Here is a 20103-nt window from a genome sequence, read left to right as displayed (position 1 = left end):
ATGTGGCCTAATGGAAGCCACATGCCCGGCTCCCTGGGCTGGGAAGAAGGGGTCTGACGTCTGTTGTCACTCAAGGGGCTTCGTGAGGGCGGCTTTTCCCGCAGGGCTGGCACAATGGAGGGCCACACGGAGGAACCCTCGGGCAGGGCGGCCCTCAGGAGGTCGGAGGTTCCCAGAGCAGCTGGGGGCAGCCCCTGACCTGCAGAAGGCCTCTCAGCACAGCCTGTGGCCCCAGGAATGCATGGCAGGAAAGGGGCCCCTTCCTCAGGGCCTCACACACGCAGGTTCTGCAGGGCAGGAGTATCTGAATGCTGTGATGCTCTGGCTAACAGGGAAACCCTAAAACTCAAATGACTGCTGCTGTCCACTGCAGACGCCCCTCAACACGGTGACTCTGTTAGGCACCGTGCTCGGCGCTCTGTGATTGCTGAGCCGCGTAGTCCTCACAACAGCCCTCTTAGTTTACAGGAGTGGAGAGTGGGCTACAGGGAGCTCAGGCCACCGCCTGTGGACACAGGGGCAGAAAGTGGTGGAAGCAGGCTTCTCTTCTGCCTTCTTCAGCTCTTCAACCTCTCACAGTGGTTCCCTTTTTTTTTTTTTTTTTTTTTTGAGTTTCACTCTTGTCGCCCAGGCTGGAGTGCAATGGCACAATCTTGGCTCACTGCAACCTCTGCCTCCCAGGTGGTGATTCTCCTGCCTCAGCCGCCCAAGTAGCTGGGATTACGGGCGCCTGCCACCACGCCAGACTAATTTTGTATTTTTAGTAGATTTGAGGTTTCACCACGTTGGCCAGGCTGGTCTCGAACTCCTGACCTCTGGTGACCCACCCACCTTGGCCTCCCAAAGTGCTGGGATTACAGGCGTGAGCCACCACGCCCGGCCCACCCTCTGACAGTGGCTTCTGAGTGCCCAGCATGTGCACAGGAGCCGGTAAGATGCTGAATGTACAGGGTTCACAAAACCCAGCAGAGACCCTGACCTTGGGGAGCTTGGGGCTTTGAGGAGGAGATAGAGACCCCAGCAGTCACAGAGGTGTGATGTTCTGAGCAGTGATACGAGCTGAGGAGTGAAGTGGTGAGCCTCACTCAGGGGATCTGACTCCTCCTGGGGGTCAGGGAAGGCTCCCTGCAGGGAGTCTTGAGCTTCCACTTGAGCTGCAATGTAGAGGATGAGGTGATAAGTGGGCAGTGGTGAGAAGGGGGTGCTCCAGGCGGGGGAAACAGCACGTGCAAAGGCCCCTTAGCCAGAGGGAATTGAACTTGATTGAAAGGAAGCTCTGACTGGTGTGAGAAGAGGCTGGGGAGGGGCCGGCCGGAGGGAGCCATATAGGGCAGAAGGTGGCATGATCTGATTTGTGTTTGAGGCGCTCCCCCCAGGTGCGGGGCTGTCCCCTCTCACACTGACGGAGCTCTGGGCCTTTCCAATGTCTGTGGGTCTGTGAGGCCCCCAGATTCCCTAGGCTGTGGCAGCACAGGGTTATCCACCCAGATTAACCTGTTTGCTAGAGGACTCCTGAAGCCTCTCCTCTCCAGTGTTGGCCCACGGGGGTTTCAAACCTGCGTGGGGTCTTAGGAGCATCACCCCAGGTCCCCATGGAAGCTAGACCAGGCTTCTGGATCTGCAAGCCCCCAGCTCTTGTGACAGAATCACCCCCTGCAGGAGTTCAAGGCTCCTAAAGTAAGCAGGAAGGGGTCAGCCTCGTGGGGGCTGTGGCCCCTGCTTAGCAGCAGCGCCCTTTGAGGACGGCTCTTAGGTAGGCTCAGCGGACCATTCCCCTTCTCGCCACAGCTCATGGGGTCTTCAAATGGGGTGTCTGACTGTGCTGGGCTATGGAGGACCTGCTGGGAGCAGGCATGGATGGGCAAGAAGAGGCCTGGGCCGCCTACCAGCCTCTGCACAGCCTTGGGCCGGTCCCTATCTGAAGCCTGGGTGCCCTGGTCCTGGCTGCCTGCTCTGATGTGCCCGATGGAGTGTATTGAACTCTGTGGCAGGTGGCTTGGAGGATATAGGGTCAGGAGTGCAGGCTCCAGGGCCTTCCAGGCCCACTGCTCACTGGTTGTGTGACCTGAGCCTCCAGCACCACCCTCGAGCCCCAGTTGCCTCACTGGTGAAACAGCGTACATAGTAGTAAGCACTCGGTGCTGCTGGAAGGACTGATGGGAAGCTGCCTGACCAGCTCGGAGAGGGGCCTCCATGGAGTGAGGGTACAGCTGGTGTGGCCCCACCACCTCCACTGGCCCAGCATGGCCAGCGCCCCTGCTCAAATGGCCCACCCACCTCGCCTCTGTCCACGAGTTCACTTCTTTCTACAACACATGCTTGTGAGATTAGGATTTGCTGCAGACACTTAGAAATGGGAAGATGTCACATAAAATTCAGCTTTCTGGCTGACATTTGTTGAAAAATTGGCAGAGGTGGCCATGCTAGGCTCCTAGGCCACAGGCCAGCCACCGGGGCAGCTGAGAAGAGACCGCCCTTCGCATTTCCTGCCAGGACACGTGGGGGCCTACCGGGCTGAGGCAGGAACCCTCCTCAGGGCCCCCAGCTCTGAAGATGTGCACCTTCTGGACCCTTGACCACTACCGCAGCCCTACCAGGGGGCCCAGCACCTCCCACAACAGGAACCCCACTCCCACCCACCCATCCCATCCCAAGAGCTGGGCCTGGGAGAAGATGCACTCTCACAGCCTCCTGCCCAAACCAAGGGCCTGGGGTGGCCACCCTAGGCCTGGCCCCACAGTCCAGCATCCCCAGCCCCAGGCAGAGACCTGGGGCAGCGGCCAGAGCCCAAGGCTGCCCTTCCCACACAAAGTGCCCTGAAGGAACCAGGACAGGGTCTTACCTTCAGGGCTACTTCTGGGGATAGAATGGACAGAGTTGGGGTCTGTGTCCTCCTCCACGTGGGAATGGGGCAGAACTTGCGGCTTCCTGGGCACTTCTCGGGTGGGTGGGATCCAGGCTGCATCAGGCAGTGATGTGGACAGGATGTTGTGGGGGCTGGGCTTGACTGGGTCCCTGGGAGAGCCAGGCACGGCCTGAGTTGGGACGAGAGCAGCCTTGCCCAGGCTCGGTGCATGCGTCACGCCCTCCGGCCCAGTGCTGCGGGACGTGGCTTGGGCATCCAGGATGAGGTTCTCTTCAGGCCTTGCCCCAGCTTCTGCCCTTGCCCCAGCTTCTGCCCTCTCCTCCTGGATAGGAAGACTGGGTCCAGCTGGGGCTGTAGTGGGCAGCCCATCCAGCCCCCTGTGGCCACCTGCTGCCAGCTGCTCAGTGACAGCCATTTCCTCTCTCTCCTCCTCCTCCTCTTCTTCCTCCTCACTGTCCTCGGTCACTCTCCTAGCTTTGGCCTGCACTGGGGCTGGGGGACCCAGGGCAGCAGCCGCTGTGGGCCTGGGGAGGACAGCTGGCCAGGGGGGTGCCTGGATGGTGGACAGTGGCTGACTCCCACCTCCCAGAGCAGCTGGGGGGCCCCCTGCGCCTGCCTGGACTGCACCCGCCTGGACCTCACCCCCCAGGGCTGTTGCTGCTTCCACCTCGGCCACCTCCTGGTCATAGCTGTAGGGGTCTTCGTAGTGTCGCTCGGGGTCACCCTCCTCGGCATCTGAGAAGTTCCCGTGGCAACCGGGGAGCTGGTAGCAGATGAGCTCTCCACCGGCGTCAGGGCAGTGGCAGGCCCGGCAGGGCGGCAGGTGAACAGTGTGGCCAGCGGCGTACTTGTGGCCCGCGTGGACGCAGCCCACCTGGCCGCACTGTGGGCAGCTGTCAGCCACCACTACAGCCTCGATGCAGTTGGGCGGCAGCTCCGGGCACAGCATGAACTGGCAGCTGATCTTGCCGCCGCCTGGTGGGCAGGAGCACTCAGTGCTCCCGAAGTCCACAAAATAGGACTGACCGGCGGGCACGCGGCCGCGCACGAAGCCACCCTGTAGGCAGTCATAGTACTGGTAGCCCTCGCAGGCGCAGCCCTGCTGCACACACGTGGCACAGCAGGCACCCGGCTCCAGCGCCTCCTCAATGCAGTTCTCCAGCGGCGGGCACTCCACGCCCGTGCAGTCCTGCCGAGGGGCAGCTGCGGCCACGCTGGGGCCCAGGGCCAGGGCCAGGCCCAGAGCAAGCCAGGCTCCTGCAGGCTCCCAGAGCAGCACCATGGTCCAGGCCAGCCCAGGACGGTCCCCTCTCCTGTAAGACCCTGGGGGAATCAGAAAGGAAGCCTGTCAGTACTGGGTGTGCACACACAGACACGGTGCACACCGGCACGCACGCGGGCAGGGGCCCAGCCTCAGCCACCTCACACGCATGCGCTCATCCCCAGGAGCACACTAAGCACTGCCTCACACACACACACAGGCTCCGCCACACATGGGTCAGATCACACACAGGTGAGTGTCTAGTCGCTGGGCGCCACAGGTGTTGACCTGGAGTCGCTGACAGCCCCACACGTGTTTGCTGGGCCACTCCATCCTCCATCCTCACCTGCATTCTGAGGCAGGTCCTCTGAGTGAGCCCTCGTGCCCACACACACACATGCACAGCCCCACACCCACTCGGTCACACTCACCAGGGCACGTCAGGCAATATGCCCCATAATCCTCTATGCAGTTACACACGCTGTCTCACCCACAGCATGCCCACGTGCCAGTACACACCCTGGGCGGTCTCACACGCACAGTCCCACGCACACACCCGACCAATCCCTCCCCCCAGATCCTTGACTCAGTCCCCAGCCACGCACCACAGCTGCTGGCCAGAAAATACAGTCAGTGGGGAAATGCTAGGCAAGAACAAGACGCCCCCTACAGCCCCAGCCCGCAGACCCTAGGACTCAGGAACACACCTCTGAGACCCTCGGGACTGCAGGCTTAGCCCCAGGGGACGCTCCTGTCCCCCTCCCCAGTAGCACTGGCAAATGCATCCTGATGCCTTGCTGTCCCTAACACCCCACCAACTCCCCCAGTCATGTCCATTCTCCCCGCAATCTGTCTCCACTCCCTCCCCACGGTCTCTACCCCTTCCTTCCATCTCTAGGCCCTGTCCCCACTCCAGTCTCAGCTCTGATCTCCACTGGAACAGCCCCGCCACCTCCCTGCCCACCACTCCTCCCCTTTCCCAGGGAACCCAGTCTGGCCTGAGAGCAGCTGGCCCCGACATGCCACGGCCCCACAGCCCGCCCCAGTTTCCCATGGCCAGAAAGGAAAGGTCTGGATTCCCAGCTGAGCCTGGCACTCAAGGCCCTGCAGGAGCCATCCCAACCCGACCCTCCCACAGGCCCTTAGGCCTGAACTCCCCCAAGGGCTCTTCTCCCCTCTCATCTTGCACAAGCCACTCAAATGCCACCTTCTCACCAGTCCTCATGCCTCCTCCCTCCTCCACCCTGGCCCAAGTCCCCAGTGCCTGTAGCCCCACTTGTGACCCAGTGGCCGTACCTGACTCTTATAGACAGCGTGCTCCCCAAAGTCACAGGCAAGAGCTCCTTCTCCGACTCCCAGCCTAAAGCGCAGCCCCATAGGGCAGTGACAGAGGGACAGCAGGACTCGTTACCACAGCAGTGGTCCCCAAGCCTGCCCCATTTCTAAAGGAACGCCTCCTCTGCACCCAGCCCCTCTAGGAACCAGGGGTTTATCAGCCAGCAAGACAGGTTCCCAGCGTCCTCACAGCACTGACACCCTCAGGGGTGGAGGGGCAGATAATAAACCCAAGAGCAAATCTGTAGAGAACTGAACGCCAGGCAGGCATGAGCCCCATGATGAAATAAATGAAGGGAATCAAGGAGACGGAAGGAGGACGTGGCAGTGTCAGGGGAGCCCGTGTCAGTCCGGCGGAAGAGGAGGGCTTCTCTGAGGAGGGCGTCAGGCAGGGAGTGGCAGGGCCAAGGGGCTGAGGCCGGACCAGCAGCAGAAAGGTGAAGGACAGAGAGGGCCCCCAGGGCTGAGCCACATCAGCACACGGGTGGTAACTGCAGAGCAACGGGCTTCCAGCCTGCTGTGAGGGCCTCTGGGCGTGCCTGTAAGCGCTGGAGCCTGGGACTCTCCAGTGCAAGGGACCCACCCAGCTGCCCACTGCGCTGAGACACGGGAGCCAGCAGGGAGCAGGTGAGAGAGCCCAGGGCAGTGAGCGAAGAGAGGCAGGAGATGGTGGCACAGGGGATCTATTTTGAAGGTAGGACCCACAGGATTTGCTGATGGATAGGATGCAGCGGACAGAAGACAGAAGTCCAGGAGCGCCTGGAAGGGGGAGTTGTGTGACCGAGGCAGGGAAGGCTGCGGTGGAGGGCCATGGACGGGCAGGGAGATGGAAGCCCATGCCCAGACCAGGCTCAGGGCCGGCGGAGTGCTAGGGAGCCTCTGGGGCCTCGAGGGCTGACGCCCCTGCCCTCACACTGAGGTGCCACCTCAGGAAGCTGGAGGACTCCGTAAAGCCACTGACATTAGGAATGGGCCCCTGGGAGAATCAGGGCCTTTACTCCCAGTCAGCAAAAGCAAGGACCCTCCAGACTGCAAGGGAGAGGCCCTCAGGTCCACTCTCAACAGTTCTTTCTGTTTGTTTTTAGAGACAGGGTCTCACTCTGTTGTCCAGGCTAGAGCACAGTTGTGTGATCATAGCTCATCGCAGCCTCAACCTCCCGAGCTCAAGCGATCTTCCCACCTCAGCCTTCTGAGTAGGTGGAACTACAGGCACACACCACTACACCCAGCTAATTTTTTTTAACAAGGGTCTCACTGTGTTGCCCAGATTGGTCTTGAACTCTTGACCTCAAGCGACCCTCCTGCCTCAGCCTCCTACAGTGCTGGGATTACAGGCATGAGCCACCGTGCCAGCTGACAGTGTCTTTTAAGAAAGGAAATCTTTGGCCAGGCGAGGTGGCTCACGCCTGTAATCCCAGCACTTTGGGAGGCCAAGACAGGCGGATCACTTGAGGTCAGGAGTTCGAGACCAGCCTGGCCAACGTGGTGAAACCCTGTCTCTACCAGAAATACAAAAATTAGCCAGGCATGATGGCGTGTGCCTGTAATCCCAGCAACTCAGGAGGATGAGGCAGGAGAACTGCTTGAACCCCGGAGGCGGAGGTTGGAGTGAGCCGAGATCGTGCCACTGCACTCCATCCTGGGGAACAGAGGGAGACCCCGTCTCAAAACAAAAGGAAATCTTTGGTGAACTGAGACCCAAGCTCCCTGCCCTCCTGCCTTCAGGTGCATCACACACCTAGGCATGAACGTTGTGTCCTGAGAGGACAGTACCCCAGCCACAGGACACAGGGCTGTCCTAGAACTTCTTCCAGAAGAACTTCCTTCCCAGCCCACCCTGCCCCACCACCCGGTCCACCAAGTCCATCCCCTTGCTCTGCTCACCGGCACAGCCCCCAGGGTGACCTGGCCCCTTGGCCCCCCAGGCCCCCAGCATCACATTCTGTCCATGCTTAAGCAATCCCAAACCTCAGGCTTGCCCATCTCCCCACTCCAGGCCCAGGGCAATGATAAAGAACATCAGGCCCAAGCCTGACTCTGCATTTTCCACATTTGCTGCGCAACCCCAGGCACGGCCCTGGCCCTCTCTGAGCCCTGGTTCTGCATCCACCCAGTGAACGTGTTCCACCATACCTCAGGTCATAGTCGGGGGCCCACCAGCATTATCTGGCCCATAAGTGCTTTCGTTTGGCTCACACAGTGGGTTTCTCATTTTAAATTGGTTACCAGCATGCATAAATTGAAAACGTTCACATAAAAATTCAGGTTTCCAACTCCTGTTTCAAGCCACAGAGCTCTGGCCACCCTGAGATGTCACATGGGGTGTGAGCTCCCAGGTTCCCCAAGTCGTCTGGGCCCCCCCAAATGCATGCAGCTCAGAGTATCCTGGTGCTGTCTGATGGTTGTATGTCCACTCAGGAGGGGAAAGGACCATCTGGGATGTGTCGAGAGGGAGTGGCCCACGTGGTGAGGGGGCCCAGGCCCCTTGGGGTGGCTCACCTGGGAGAATAGCAGACCTCACTGTCCTCACATCTCCACAGCTGCTCCCAATGGGGCGTGTATGTGTGGGGCGGGAGGTGGGGGCATGGAGGAGATGGCAGATGTCAGCTCCAAGTGGAGAACACTCCCTCCAGGGCAGGGACTGACCAGGCTGCTGGGAAGGAGTGAGCTCCCTATCTATCGCCAGAGATAAGCAAGCAGGGCTGGGGACACTCGTACAAGAGAGAAGCAGGAGGGCACAGTCTCTACACTGCAGGGTCACAGAATCAAACATGCCCCTCCTGGGAGCTCCAGCTGAGTTTTCCCACAACCCCGGCTTCTGCAGACAGCTCCCACCCCTCAGCAACCTGAAAAAAGAAGCCCCTGGAGATGGGGTGGGGAAGGAGGCCTGACCTCCCTGCGGGGGGACAGTCCCAGCAGTCAGAGCCTGGCCAGCAAACAAAGCCCCTGGGACTGGCTGCGGTGGCCAGCCAGGCAGTCACACTGCACCAAGCCAGCCCTCCCGGGTGGGGACGCAAGAAACAACAAGATACAAAGTAAAACCACTGCAGCCTCTCCCTTGCACCCATCAGGAAGGCAAACACTAGGATAGTGGTATTATTATCATTCTTATGCCACTGGCCGAAGTGTCACCTGGAGCAGCCTCTTTGCAAGGCAGTACCCATGTGAGAATTCAGCACATGCACTCCATGACCCTGTGCTTCTGACGCCCAGTGTGCGACTCAGAGACGTCTGTACCAGGTCCATATGGCCCCTGGTGGTCACCGGGCTGCCATCTGGGGACAGGAAAGGTTGGCAGGTGGAGGCCACCGGGCCAGTCACTGTCCAGGCTGGCCTCAGGCTGCAACCCTAGGAGGGGTGAGGGTTGGCAACTGCTGGCATTTTTAAAAGATGAACGCTTTACGTATCATGTGCGTAACATATATCACGGCATTAAAAAATAGGCAGGAGACAGGATCTTGCTCTGCTGCCCAGACTGGTCTCAAACTCCTAGCCTCAAGCAATCACCCTGTCTCGGCCTCCCAAAGTGCTGGGATCACAAGCGTGAGCCTCTGCGCCTAGCCATTCCTCTGTATTTGGCGGCCCATTCTTCACAGGAAGAGCCAAAATGACAATGGACATTTAGGTGACAATGAGGACGTCAAGCCACCATGAAGTGGCACTCAGCACTTAGCATCTGGGAGTGCATCCAGCACTGTGAGCAAGGCTTTGCCACCGGAGTGGAGACACAAGAGCAGGCTCCAGACAGGACCAGCGGCAGGTGGGGCTATCACAGCTTTGGTCTTTGTTGATCAAATCCCTGCTGTGGGTGGGGGGACCAGGGTATTCTAAAGTGGCAGCAGGGTTCACACCTGGGGTTACGTACTCAGGGCCATCACTTGAACGTGCACAGGGCAATGTGGGGGCGGAGAGACATTCAGCCAGGGTCTCCCCAGGGAGTGTCCAGCAGGGACAGGTGACTCAGCACACAGTGTGAGTCTCCTAGAGACCTGCCCACTCCTCACAAGGCACCTGGGGCAGGCAGGATGGGGAGGGAGGGCTCCGGCACATCAGAGTCAGAAGTGCCTCAGGATGTGGCTCAGGCCCCAGCTGCCTCTCTCACCTGGCCACAAGCTCCTCGCTCTGCTGTCCTGATAGGGCTGGGCCCCAACCTACCACAAAAACAAACACGCATCCTATAGTAAAGCAACACTGCCTCCTTTGATAAATTAACCTTCACATTCATCCACAGCAGGCCCCAGATGAAACCTCTCTGGGCTGGCGAGGACACTGGAAGGTCAAGGCCACCTGGGGGGACATCCCCAGTGCTGCCACTGTGGAAAGGTGGGGGGGTCCCACCTTAGTGAGCACACAGGCCACAGGATATGACACTGGATCAGGAAGGAAAGGTCTTCCCACCTCCAGTTCTGACCCTTCTGGCTCTGATGAGATCCAGCAAATACAGATCTGGGATGTGCACAGGCATCTCAGAGAAATGATGGAGAACTGTCTAGCATTTAAGGATGTCCTGTACAGTATTTGGCACACATCTGTCACTTATCTGAAATTCCAACTTAACTGGGCAACCTCCATTTGATGAGGCAACTGTAGATAAGAACAAAGTCTCAGGTTGGCGCCAGTATGGCTTTAAAATTTTTTAAATATTTGCAGGGGATCTCTTTTAAAAAAATAATAAGCAGCTATATCAAAACACTGGGACTTGCAAACTGGGACTGCTAGGGATGGCAGCAGGGAAATAAACACACAAGACACTCACAGACAAGACAGTGACAAAGAAACCCATAATCAGTACCACCTGGCCCGCTGGCTGTGCCCACACGGCTGCCCCCGGGCCCAAGTCCAAGCAGAGAGCAGGCACAAACCAGCCACCCAGCCTGTTCACACACAGATGTGTTTGTGGGGCCCACATGGTGCTTTATAAATTAGCTGCCAATATTACTCATTGATAATTAGTTTAAAATGATAACATTTAATGTCAGGACACTTGACACTGAAGCTGTGGGGCCCAGCAACAGGGCTTCCCTGGGCTAATTTGGATGCACACTCCCTTCCCATTGGCATCGTTGGGCTTCCTGAGTCATCTCTACCAGCCTGAACACTCCAAGGCCTGAGCGTCTCTTGTCCACACCAGGAGGAGAGAGGCCTGGATGAGGTGGGAGCTCCTGCCCCTCCAACCACCCCGCCCCAGGGTCGCCTCCAGAATAGCTTGGTTTCCTGGGTTAGGACCTGCCTCTTCTATATGTGATAGATGCTGGGAGTTCTCACCCTCTTCCAAGGAGACCACCTCTAGCCACATGGTGTAGTTGGCCTCAGTAGGTCAGCTGCATCAGAATCCAACCCAACGCCCACAGTAATGCAAGACCCATAGTGCTCAGAGGGATATGTGAGCTGCGCACTGTCTTAGACGGGGCTCCCCAGAAGCAGAGTCCGAGGCAGGGACGCTTGAGGGCATGGTCTGTCGGGGGAGAGCGCTCAGGAGAAGGGCAAAGGAAAGCAGGCAGAGCCAGGGGGAGCTGGGCAAGACTGCATCTCAGCTGGAGTCCAGTGACCCACGAGAAGCCATGCAGTGTGGGGGGCACCCCGGGTGCATCCCACTCAGAGGCATGTCAGTCACTGGCCAAAGACCATGGAGAGTGACCTCCCAGGCACTTCACGGGGAAGTGACACCTGCCAGCAAAGGGCAGGCAGCTGGAGAAGGCACAGGTGTGAGCCATCAGCAGCCAGCACCTGTGGCCGCTGGGAGACATGTGCACCTCCAGGTGAGAGACCTGGGTGGGCACCCACAGTGGCCATGGAGTTTACTGAGCACAGACACACAGCCACACACCAGGCAGAGGCAGGGAAGACAGCCTGATCCTAGAAACTGTCCAAAAATCTACCCTTAATTTATTAGTGGGCCTGAGACCACCTGAGGCCCAGAAAGTAATTTTTTAAAAATAATATTTGCGCATCCAAGTTCACTACAGTGTTATTCATGATAGACTCGAGTCACACGGATCAAGCCAAGTGACCATCAATGGATGGATGGATAAACAAAATATTCCATACAATGCAACATTATCAGCCTTGAAAGGAGGGGCATTCTGACCCGTGCTGCAACACAGATGAACCCTGAGGACGCTGTGCTAGGTGAATAAGCCAGACACCAAAGGACAAATCCTGTGTGATTCCACTTCTATGAGATATCTACAGTCATCAAATTCAGAGACAGAAAGTAGAATGGTGGGTGCAGGGGCTGGAGGTGGGAAGCAGGAGGAGTTCCTGCTTAATGGGGACACAGTTTCTGTTCAGGATAATGAAAAAGTTCTGGAAATAGATAGTGGTAACGGCTGCACAACGTGAACTTCCATGATGCCACTGAGCTGTGCACTCAAGCAGGTTAAAATGGTAAATCGCAGCCGGGCGCGGCCTGCAACAGCAGCACTTTGGGAGGCCAAGGCGGGTGGATCATGAGGTCAGGAGATAGAGGCCATCCTGGCCAACATGGTGAAACGCCATCTCTATTAAAAATACAAAAATTTGCCAGGTGTGGTGGCATATACCTATAATCCCAGCTACTTGGGAGGCTGAGGCACGAGAATTGCTTGAACCCAGGAGGTGGAGGTTGCAGTGAGCCAAGATCGCTCCACTGCACTCCAGCCTGGGCGACACGGCAAGACTCCGTCACAAAAAAAAAAAAAAAAAAGTAAACTTCATGTTACGTATATTTTACCAAAATAAAGGACAATAATCACAAATGTGCACTGTAGAGCCAAACGTAAATAACCAAAGAACAGGGAGAAGAAAGGGAAGAAGAACTGCACTGAAGATGGACAGGAAATAAGGGCTGCTCCTGAGACCTCCCCTTAGCAGTATGCTTCCTGGCAGCCAAAGCCAAAAGGGAAATTAGAGGGTGACCCGGTGCTCCTTCTCTGATAAGAGGAAGTCATCTAGTTCACTGGGAAAAATAAACTTGCTCTTGGCACAAAGCATCAAGTAGGGATTTTAGCTGTTAATCAAGTTCGTGTCTAACTATCACTTCCTCAGTGCCAACACAATGCCAATCACTGGACTGTGAGTTTCCAGGGATATTTATTTTCCTTAACCATTTAATACCTACAAATGAGGAAACTGAGGCCCAGACAGAGTAAATGATCTGTCCAAGGCCACATAAGTAGTAAAAGGTGTGGGGATTTGAACAGGTCTGTCTGGCCGAGAAAGTTGAGCTAGAGTCCTTTAGTTTGCAGCTATTCATCAAACAGTTGCTACCGGCCAGCCCACTGCAGGTGCTGGGATATGGCAGCGAACAAGATGAAAGAAAGTCCTACCCGCATGCAGCCAATGTTCTGATGGGGGGAAGAGATAAGGGCGTTGTGACAGAGACAGACCGCATGCTCCTTTGGCAAGAATGGTCAGACGAGGAGGCCTAGGAGGCAACCTACTTGCTGATATCATGCAAAAATGTGGTGGCCATGCAAAGATCTGGGGAATGGTATCCTAAGCAGCACTAACAGTATGTGCAAAAGCCCTGAGGCAGAAACCAGCCTGACACACTGCAGCCGGCATGCAGGGAAGGAGGAAGAGAGTGGTCGCTGGGAAGTGAGCAGCACAAAGAAAAATGATAGAGGTGGCGGGGGGGTGGGGACACACATCAAGGAAGAAGAGATGCCAAGGAGAGGGCGATCAGTCAGTCACTGAATCCGGGGCCCAGGGACCTCAGCAAAACATCTGGTACATTTAGTGGATGTTGTCCCAACAGGGTGGCAGGGCCACCACTAGGTCACAGCACACTGGGAATTCAAGAACAGACTGTAGACACCCCTTTTGAGAAATCTGGGACAGATTCCAGTCATAAAGTACAAAACCTGGTGAAATCTAAGCTACATCATTTAGGGACTGCAAATGTAGGAACCAGAACTAGAAAGTCAAGCAGGAGTTGTCACCATCAAAGTCTAGTGGCCAGTAAGGGAAATCAGAGGACCTATGGGGGCGGGCAGTATCCTCTTGCTTTGCCCAGGTGGTGGTTATCCAAGAATTTCCTCTACCACCCTACACCGACTTTTAGGTACTCTTTTGTATGTTTGTGTTTTTTTCCCTTCAAAGAGACTCTGTATCTAGCTACTTGGGAGGCTGAGGCGGGAGGATTACTGGAGCCCAGGAGTTGGAGGCTGCATTGAGCTATAATCACACCACTGCACTCCAGCCTGGGTGACAGAGCAAAACCCCGTATCTAAAAGACAGAGAGAGAAAGAGAGACTTTTTAAAGAAAATAAAAAAGAACCATTGCAGTAATCCAGAAAAAGGAAACAAAAGCCAGAGAAGGTGTTGGCAGGAGAAACGGAAGGAAGGGAAATGATTCGAAACTCACAAATTATCAGAGCAAAGTAATCAAGTTGGCTTCAATCTTGAAAACTACAGTTGCCTTCATTTCCTCGCGGGCAAATGTCTTAATAATAGCACGATGTGCAAAAGACCAGAAGCTTGGCTGCGAGGAAAGGGCTACCGGGCCAGGAGGATGAGGAGAGGTCTGTGGTCCTTTCTGTTGAACAGGTGAGGCTGATGACACAGGTGGGTGGTGTGAGACCCCAAGGAGGAGGAGGGAGACAGCAGGTCCAGGGCAAGCCCTACACGTGAAGTACAGACCAAGCTGTAGGCCGCAGGTGGGGCTTAGGGTACCAGGTGCCCCATGCTCCTCACACGCTCACTGGTCACTGGGCCTTCCTTCAACAGGGTGAGCTCATGAAAACCCTGGGAAAAATAATCTTTCAAGTGGAACAGCCAGGGTTTTCTCCCCTCCCTTCCCTCTCCTCCCTAAAAAAAAGAAAAAACAAGAAATGAATAAAAAGCTCCCTAAATTTTAGGTAAGAGCTGACCCTACATACACAATCACTAATCTCATTACCAACATAAGCACGTGAAAAATTACAAAGATTAATGTCCGTGACTTTTAATCAACCTTTGAGAAAGAAAATGTTGCTTTTGGCATTGAAGGGAGCTGGTATTTTCCTTCCCCACAAGTTACTCCTCTGCAAAGAGGAAACACTCCCAGGGTGGGAGCGATGAGAAATGAGGCTGCCCACGGCCAAGGCTGAGATCACCACCCTCCCCACCTGGCGCTCCACACACCCTCCACCCGACCCTAGAAGGAGGCACACCCATGCCCCGCCTGGGGCGGGGGGAGTCCTAATCCCCAGGCATGCTCCACATGGTCTGCTCCTGGACCGAGATCCTGCCTCCAGGGACTGCTCATCACCTCTCATCCCTGCTCCAAACCCTGAATGGTTCTCCATCAGCTCTGGCCCCCTGGAGAATGTGCAAAAAGCTATGGATAATACACACCCAGCTCCACCAAAAAAAGCACATAATGAACCAAGCTCTGCAGCGACACTGGGTGGTTTCTGACCACCTGGCACATATTCAGCCTCTTTCCAAGAACAGCCCCTAGATTTCGTTCTGTGGCCCTATCACCCTGCTGGAGCTCCAATCAGCACTTCCCATTCCCCTTGCAACAGCACCTGACTCAGAGATGGACACCAGGACAATTAGAGACTATAAGACCCACCTCAGGTAAAACACTGGGCAAACAGCTTCTCTCTTTCCTACTGTATTAGACTAAGATGATTTAACATCAAGGGTACCTGAAGCCATCTTGTCATCAAGTGGAGACCATCAGAGGCTGGCACCTGCTCATAAAATACACAAAAGCCAAGAAAGAGAAACAGGGTCATAGTGATAGCTGCCTGGCACCTGGATCCAGCCATGCCTGAAGCTAACTGAAAAACTGAACTTCACAATGACATGAACCCCTTTTGATTAACCTAACTTGGACCAGGTTTTCTGTCCCTTGCAACCAAGAGCCTTAACAGACATATGGGCACATACCTAAAACTGCTATGTGAGGGAGTTTCATAGACTCCCTGCAGTCCACTCACAGACCCCTGGCTGAAGTCCTGTGGCCCAAGGATAAAGAAAAAACTCCTAACGGAGACATTCAAAGCCCTTCACCAACTAACCCCACCTAGCTTTCCTAACCCATCCCCCTCTGTTGTCCTCCACAAACCCAACTCCTGCTAAACTGGAAAACTCTCTCTAGTTCCCAACCCCTTATCTTTCTCTCATCATTAGCTCAACCTGCGATGCCCTCTCTCCTGAAACTCTCCTAGAACCCTGAACACCCAAATCCCACCCCATGCTTTAAAGCCAAGCCCTGAGGGTGGGATAAGTAGGTAGATGGATGAATGGGTAGGTAGGTGGGTGGGTGGGTGGGTGGGTGGGTGGATGGGTGGATGGATGGATGGATGGATGGACGAGTGAATGGATGGGTGGCTAAAAAAGTAGGTAGGTGGGTGGATGGGTGGGTAAGTGAACAGATGGGTGGGTGGGCGGGTGGATGGATGGGTGTGTGGGTATATGGATGGGTGGGTGAGTGGAGAGGGGTAGATTAATTAATCCGTATGGCCCGAGCACAGGGCTGGCAGAGAGGATGGGATGAATTATGAATGTGAGTATCCCAGAAGGGCCTTCAGAAACAGAAAAGGCTTCCCTGAAGTCACCTGGCTAGTCACTGGCTAAGTGACCTAAACAACCAAGGTACGTGTCCACCTTTCATACAGAGGCACTTTCACTCCTGCGTCCGCCTTTTAGTCTCACAAAGGGCTGAGATCCTAGACTTGGGTGGCGGGGTGGGGGGAGTGGTGCCAGCAAAAGACAGGCAGAGAGAGACACAGAGACTGACAGAGACAAGGAAAGAGATCCATTAGTGAGACAGAAAGAGACCAAGACAGAGATGGAGAGAAGCACAGACCGAAAGCCAAGCAGACAGCCAGAGACAGACAGCGATGGAGACAGGCAGGCGGGGCCGGCCTACGGCAGAACCAGGCTCCCTTGGCCACCACAGCATCTGGAAGGAGGCAGCAGCCAGGGGAGCGGGCAGCCCAGTCTCTCTGCGAGTCCCTCAGGCCTTTGCTGTGCCCAATTTATTTGCACGGCCCTGAAATTTAGGAATTTCTCAGGGCTGCCAGTGAGGCGGCCAGTGTACAACCAACAGCGGGGTCTGGCCCAGTCTGTGGTATAACCGTTGGGCTCAAGAGCCTTGGAGGCCCCCAAGGCAGTCAGCCCCTGCTGCCAAAGCCAAGGGAGACAGCCAGCAGGACCAAGCTCTGGACTCCCAGAGATCAGAGCTCAAATTTGAACCTAGCCCTGCCACTAGGCTGCTGGGCACCTCGGAGCATGTGACCCTCTGAGCAGCAATGCTTTCATCTGCACAGTGGGTCTAATCACTGCAGCCTTTCTCCTCTGGGGAACCCCCCTTCACACTTCAGGCTACGTGGACTGCTGGATGGCCAATGAGAGGAGTCCCTGCCCCATCCACAGTGACAGGTCAGAGCAGTCACACGACCCAGTCACATGGCCCATGCTGATGCTCCTGGGAGGAGGCTGCCTTGCTCCAGAGCTTCTGAGCTCGAGGGTGAGCCTGGAGCTGCTGGGGCACCTGACCACCACACGGCAGAGCCTGCCTGGGAGTATGGAACACAGAGAACAGCAGAGCAAGAGATGGAGACCCGGTCCTGATGGCATCTGCAGAGGCCCTGGATACAGCCATGCCTGAAGCTACACCCTGTATTTTTTTAGTTCCATGACTTTTTTGCTGAAATTGTACTTTCTATCACCTGTAACCAAAATTATCCTGACATTTGTGAAAACAAAGAAAGAAGAACCACCTTCTTGTATTCATGGCTGACTTAACCCCAAAATGTCTGAGTTGCTGGGGTTATGTGTCCCTGCAGTAGACTAGACCCCTCCTAGGGCAGCAGGCTGCCTCGCTCAGTCCCCAGGCTCAGGGAATGGCTCCAGACATGCGCCTGGGGCCACATCAACGCATGACCTCCTGACCCTCCCCAGCCACAGCTGACTGGCCCAGGGCAGATGTTCTTCCCAGGCTGGGCTGGTCACAGCTCCTCCCTGAGCTCTTGAAGTGGAAATAAAAGAAAGCACAGACCACCTGCAGAGGAAGAAACAGCAAGTTCTGAAGGTGGGCACATTTCCTGCCATGTGGCGGGCCTCATTTCGAGAGAATCAACCAGGCTCACAGAGAAAGGCAGAGACAAAAGAAAGATGGGGCGTGAGGGAGTCCTGGTGGCTGCAACTTGACCCAGGGCTGACAGATCACTAGTCCTTCCAGGAGGATGTAGTGGGGCCCCTACGTCTCCTGAATAGCCTCAGACACAGACAAGCCTGTGCAAAGGGGCCCCTGCTTCCAGCAATGGGCAGGCCAACTTCCGAAGTCACTGTGGGGGACCAAGCCCAGGTCATAGGTGGGCTACAGTGTCATGTGCTGATGCCCAACCAGACCCTGGGAACCCCAACGTCTAGGGCCAAAGAGGGGTCACTCCTCCCATCCCATGCACAGGAAGCCATGGCCTCCCCACCACACCCTGCCTTGGGGTCACACAGGGACTGGCAGCTGGTGTTACAGTGTTTCCATCCTCAGCAGTTCATTAAACCAGTCTGTTACAGGCTGAACATCTGTGTCCTCCCTACATTTCTATGTGAAAGCCCTGACCCCAGTGGGATGGTATCAGGGGGTGGGGCCCCCCATTAGGAGGTTTAGATGAGGTTACATGGGTGGAGCCCCCATGTGTGGATTAGTGTCCTTACAGAAAGAAAGACCAGAGCTCACTAGCTCTCCCTCCCTCCCTCCCTCTCTTCCCTTCTCTCTCTCTCTCCGTCCGCCGCTTCCCACCCCCCACCTTGTGAGGACACAGCAAGAAGGCAGCCACGTGCATGCCGGGAAGAAAACTCTCACCAGGAACGAAATCTAGGGCTTAGACTTCCAGCCTCCACAACTGAGAAATAAATGTCCATCTTCAATCTCCTCCCCGACTCATCTGTGACATTTGTTATAGCAGCCGGAACCCGCCAGGACAGTCTTAGGGCACGGAGCTGGGGGCACAGAGGACATGGCCACTCCCTGAGAGCCAGACACTTGGTCTCAGAGAAGACATTCCTGCTAGAGGGCTGGGGCCTCCTCCATCAACCCCAGCCTAGCACGAAACATGCCAAGGCAGCCCCAGGAGATGTGAGGTATGTGACGCCCCTACCACAGGGGACTTCCTGGGCAGGGATAGAGATGACTGTTCCAAGGACAGCTGATTTCAGGGACAAGCACCAACGCTCGGTGATCTTGTGAGGAAATGTCCCCGCGAATCCCTCTGAACCAATCTGGCTATTGGAGACCGTCTCTAGACAGCACGGGTGTGCCTCCCACACCTCTCAGACGCTTGCCAACCATTCTTTTTAAAAACCAGGGTGCTGGGCACAGTGGCTCACGCCTGTAATCCCAGCACTTTGAGAGGCCAAGGCGGGTGGATCACAAGGTCAGGAGATCGAGACCATCCTGGCTAACACGGTGAAACTCCGTCTCTACTAAAAATACAAAAAATTAGCCAGGCATGGTGGCGGGCGCCTGTAGTCCCAGCTACTCGGGAGGCTGAGGCAGGAGAATGGTATGAACCTGGGAGGCGGAGCTTGCAGTGAGCCGAGATGGCGCCACTGCACTTCAGCCTGGGCAACATAGCGAGACTCCATCTCAAAAAATAAATAAATGAATAAAAATAAAAATAAATAAAAAAAAAACAGGGAACACTCACTCGGGCTCAAGGCTGTGGCAGGGCATACAAGGTGGCTAAGATGCTAAGCACTGTATTTTTAGTGCCATATTTATTTTTATGGGTATTGCTGGTTTAGGACAAGTGATCCTGATTTCTGTCTACAGTTGTGATCAAAGGTTTCCTTTAAAAGTAAGTATAAGCAGCCAAGCACAGTGGCTCACGCCTGTAATCCCAGCACTTTGGGAGGCCAAGACAGGTGGATCACCTGAGGTCAGGAGTTTGAGACCAGCCTGGCCAACATGGTGAAACCCCATCTCTACTAAAAATACAAAATTAACCCAGTGTGGTGGCACGCACCTGTAGTCCCAGCTACTCGGGAGGCTGAGGCAGGAAAATCACTGGAACCTGGGAGGCAGAGGTTGCAGTGAGCCGGAATCGCACCACTGCACTCCAGCCTGGGTGACAGAGTAAAATTCAGTATTTAAAAAAAAAAAAAAAAAAAAAAGTAAATATAAGCAAAACAGGGAAGGGATTTTTTAAAATAACATTAAGTTATTAAGTATGATGTCAAGGACAGGAGGTAGGAGGATGCAGCCGAAAACACGGTGGTGAAACTCATCCTCACTCTGTCAGAAAGGAAGCTGACACCCTCTGGCTTATTCCCCAAGAAAGTGCACAGGTCCCCGTAGAAGCCCTCTGCCTCTACCAGCCCCATAATCAGACAACAGCCATCAGGGCCCCTGGGATGCCCATGGGCCAAAACGGTGAAATTAATTTGTTTCCACAGCCATGCAGGGGAGCAGAGATGAGGGAGGACATTGAGATGCTCAGCCAACACCAACCACCACGAGGACTAGGGAAGTTGTCTAAGAAAACACAGTGATGAGCGAGATCTTCAGAGACAGACAAGAGACAGAGAGAAAGAGAGAACGTGTGTGTGGGCACGCGCATGCATGCTCATCAATGTTTTTTGACGATGTGTTTTCATTTTGAGGAGACTCTAAGAAGAACAGAACTTTCTGGATCATCTAAAAGCTCAACTTGGGACCAAG

At 55.4% G+C, this 20103-nt stretch overlaps 1 protein-coding gene across 3 annotated transcripts in view, besides 6 other annotated features; it reads right to left on the bottom strand.

Moving 5' to 3' along the window:
• Positions 1–20103, bottom strand: part of FBLN2 (fibulin 2) — an 89280-nt gene that overhangs the window by 63901 nt on the left and 5276 nt on the right. For 2 of the 3 annotated variants that reach the window (NM_001004019.2, NM_001998.3), the window contains exon 2: positions 2843–4189. In NM_001004019.2, coding sequence (NP_001004019.1) covers positions 2843–4148 — 1306 coding nt within the window. In that variant the 5' untranslated portion in view covers positions 4149–4189. Of the gene's footprint in view, positions 1–2842; positions 4190–5423; positions 5765–20103 lie in introns of those variants that run through there. The other variant, NM_001165035.2, reaches the window with a different exon arrangement.
• Positions 2319–3035: an enhancer, noted in NCBI's record as "H3K4me1 hESC enhancer chr3:13612969-13613685 (GRCh37/hg19 assembly coordinates)". NCBI's record gives its function as "activates a minimal SCP1, AML or CMV promoter by ChIP-STARR-seq in primed H9 embryonic stem cells {active_cell/tissue: H9 hESC(primed)}" and the evidence as "EXISTENCE:reporter gene assay evidence [ECO:0000049][PMID:30033119]".
• Positions 4640–5599: an enhancer, noted in NCBI's record as "H3K4me1 hESC enhancer chr3:13610405-13611364 (GRCh37/hg19 assembly coordinates)". NCBI's record gives its function as "activates a minimal SCP1, AML or CMV promoter by ChIP-STARR-seq in primed H9 embryonic stem cells {active_cell/tissue: H9 hESC(primed)}" and the evidence as "EXISTENCE:reporter gene assay evidence [ECO:0000049][PMID:30033119]".
• Positions 14078–14577: an enhancer, noted in NCBI's record as "H3K4me1 hESC enhancer chr3:13601427-13601926 (GRCh37/hg19 assembly coordinates)". NCBI's record gives its function as "activates a minimal SCP1, AML or CMV promoter by ChIP-STARR-seq in primed H9 embryonic stem cells {active_cell/tissue: H9 hESC(primed)}" and the evidence as "EXISTENCE:reporter gene assay evidence [ECO:0000049][PMID:30033119]".
• Positions 14578–15079: an enhancer, noted in NCBI's record as "H3K4me1 hESC enhancer chr3:13600925-13601426 (GRCh37/hg19 assembly coordinates)". NCBI's record gives its function as "activates a minimal SCP1, AML or CMV promoter by ChIP-STARR-seq in primed H9 embryonic stem cells {active_cell/tissue: H9 hESC(primed)}" and the evidence as "EXISTENCE:reporter gene assay evidence [ECO:0000049][PMID:30033119]".
• Positions 16727–16776: a silencer, noted in NCBI's record as "silent region_14087". NCBI's record gives its function as "represses an Ori minimal core promoter by ATAC-STARR-seq in GM12878 lymphoblastoid cells {active_cell/tissue: GM12878}" and the evidence as "EXISTENCE:reporter gene assay evidence [ECO:0000049][PMID:35858748]".
• Positions 17544–18331: an enhancer, noted in NCBI's record as "H3K27ac-H3K4me1 hESC enhancer chr3:13597673-13598460 (GRCh37/hg19 assembly coordinates)". NCBI's record gives its function as "activates a minimal SCP1, AML or CMV promoter by ChIP-STARR-seq in naive and primed H9 embryonic stem cells {active_cell/tissue: H9 hESC(naive and primed)}" and the evidence as "EXISTENCE:reporter gene assay evidence [ECO:0000049][PMID:30033119]".

This window comes from Homo sapiens, chromosome 3 (genome assembly GCF_000001405.40).
Source record: "Homo sapiens chromosome 3, GRCh38.p14 Primary Assembly".
Classification (NCBI taxonomy): Eukaryota; Metazoa; Chordata; class Mammalia; order Primates; family Hominidae; genus Homo; species Homo sapiens.
The sequence above is the reverse complement of the archived record's forward strand: the minus strand, read 5'-3'. Positions and strand labels throughout refer to the sequence as shown.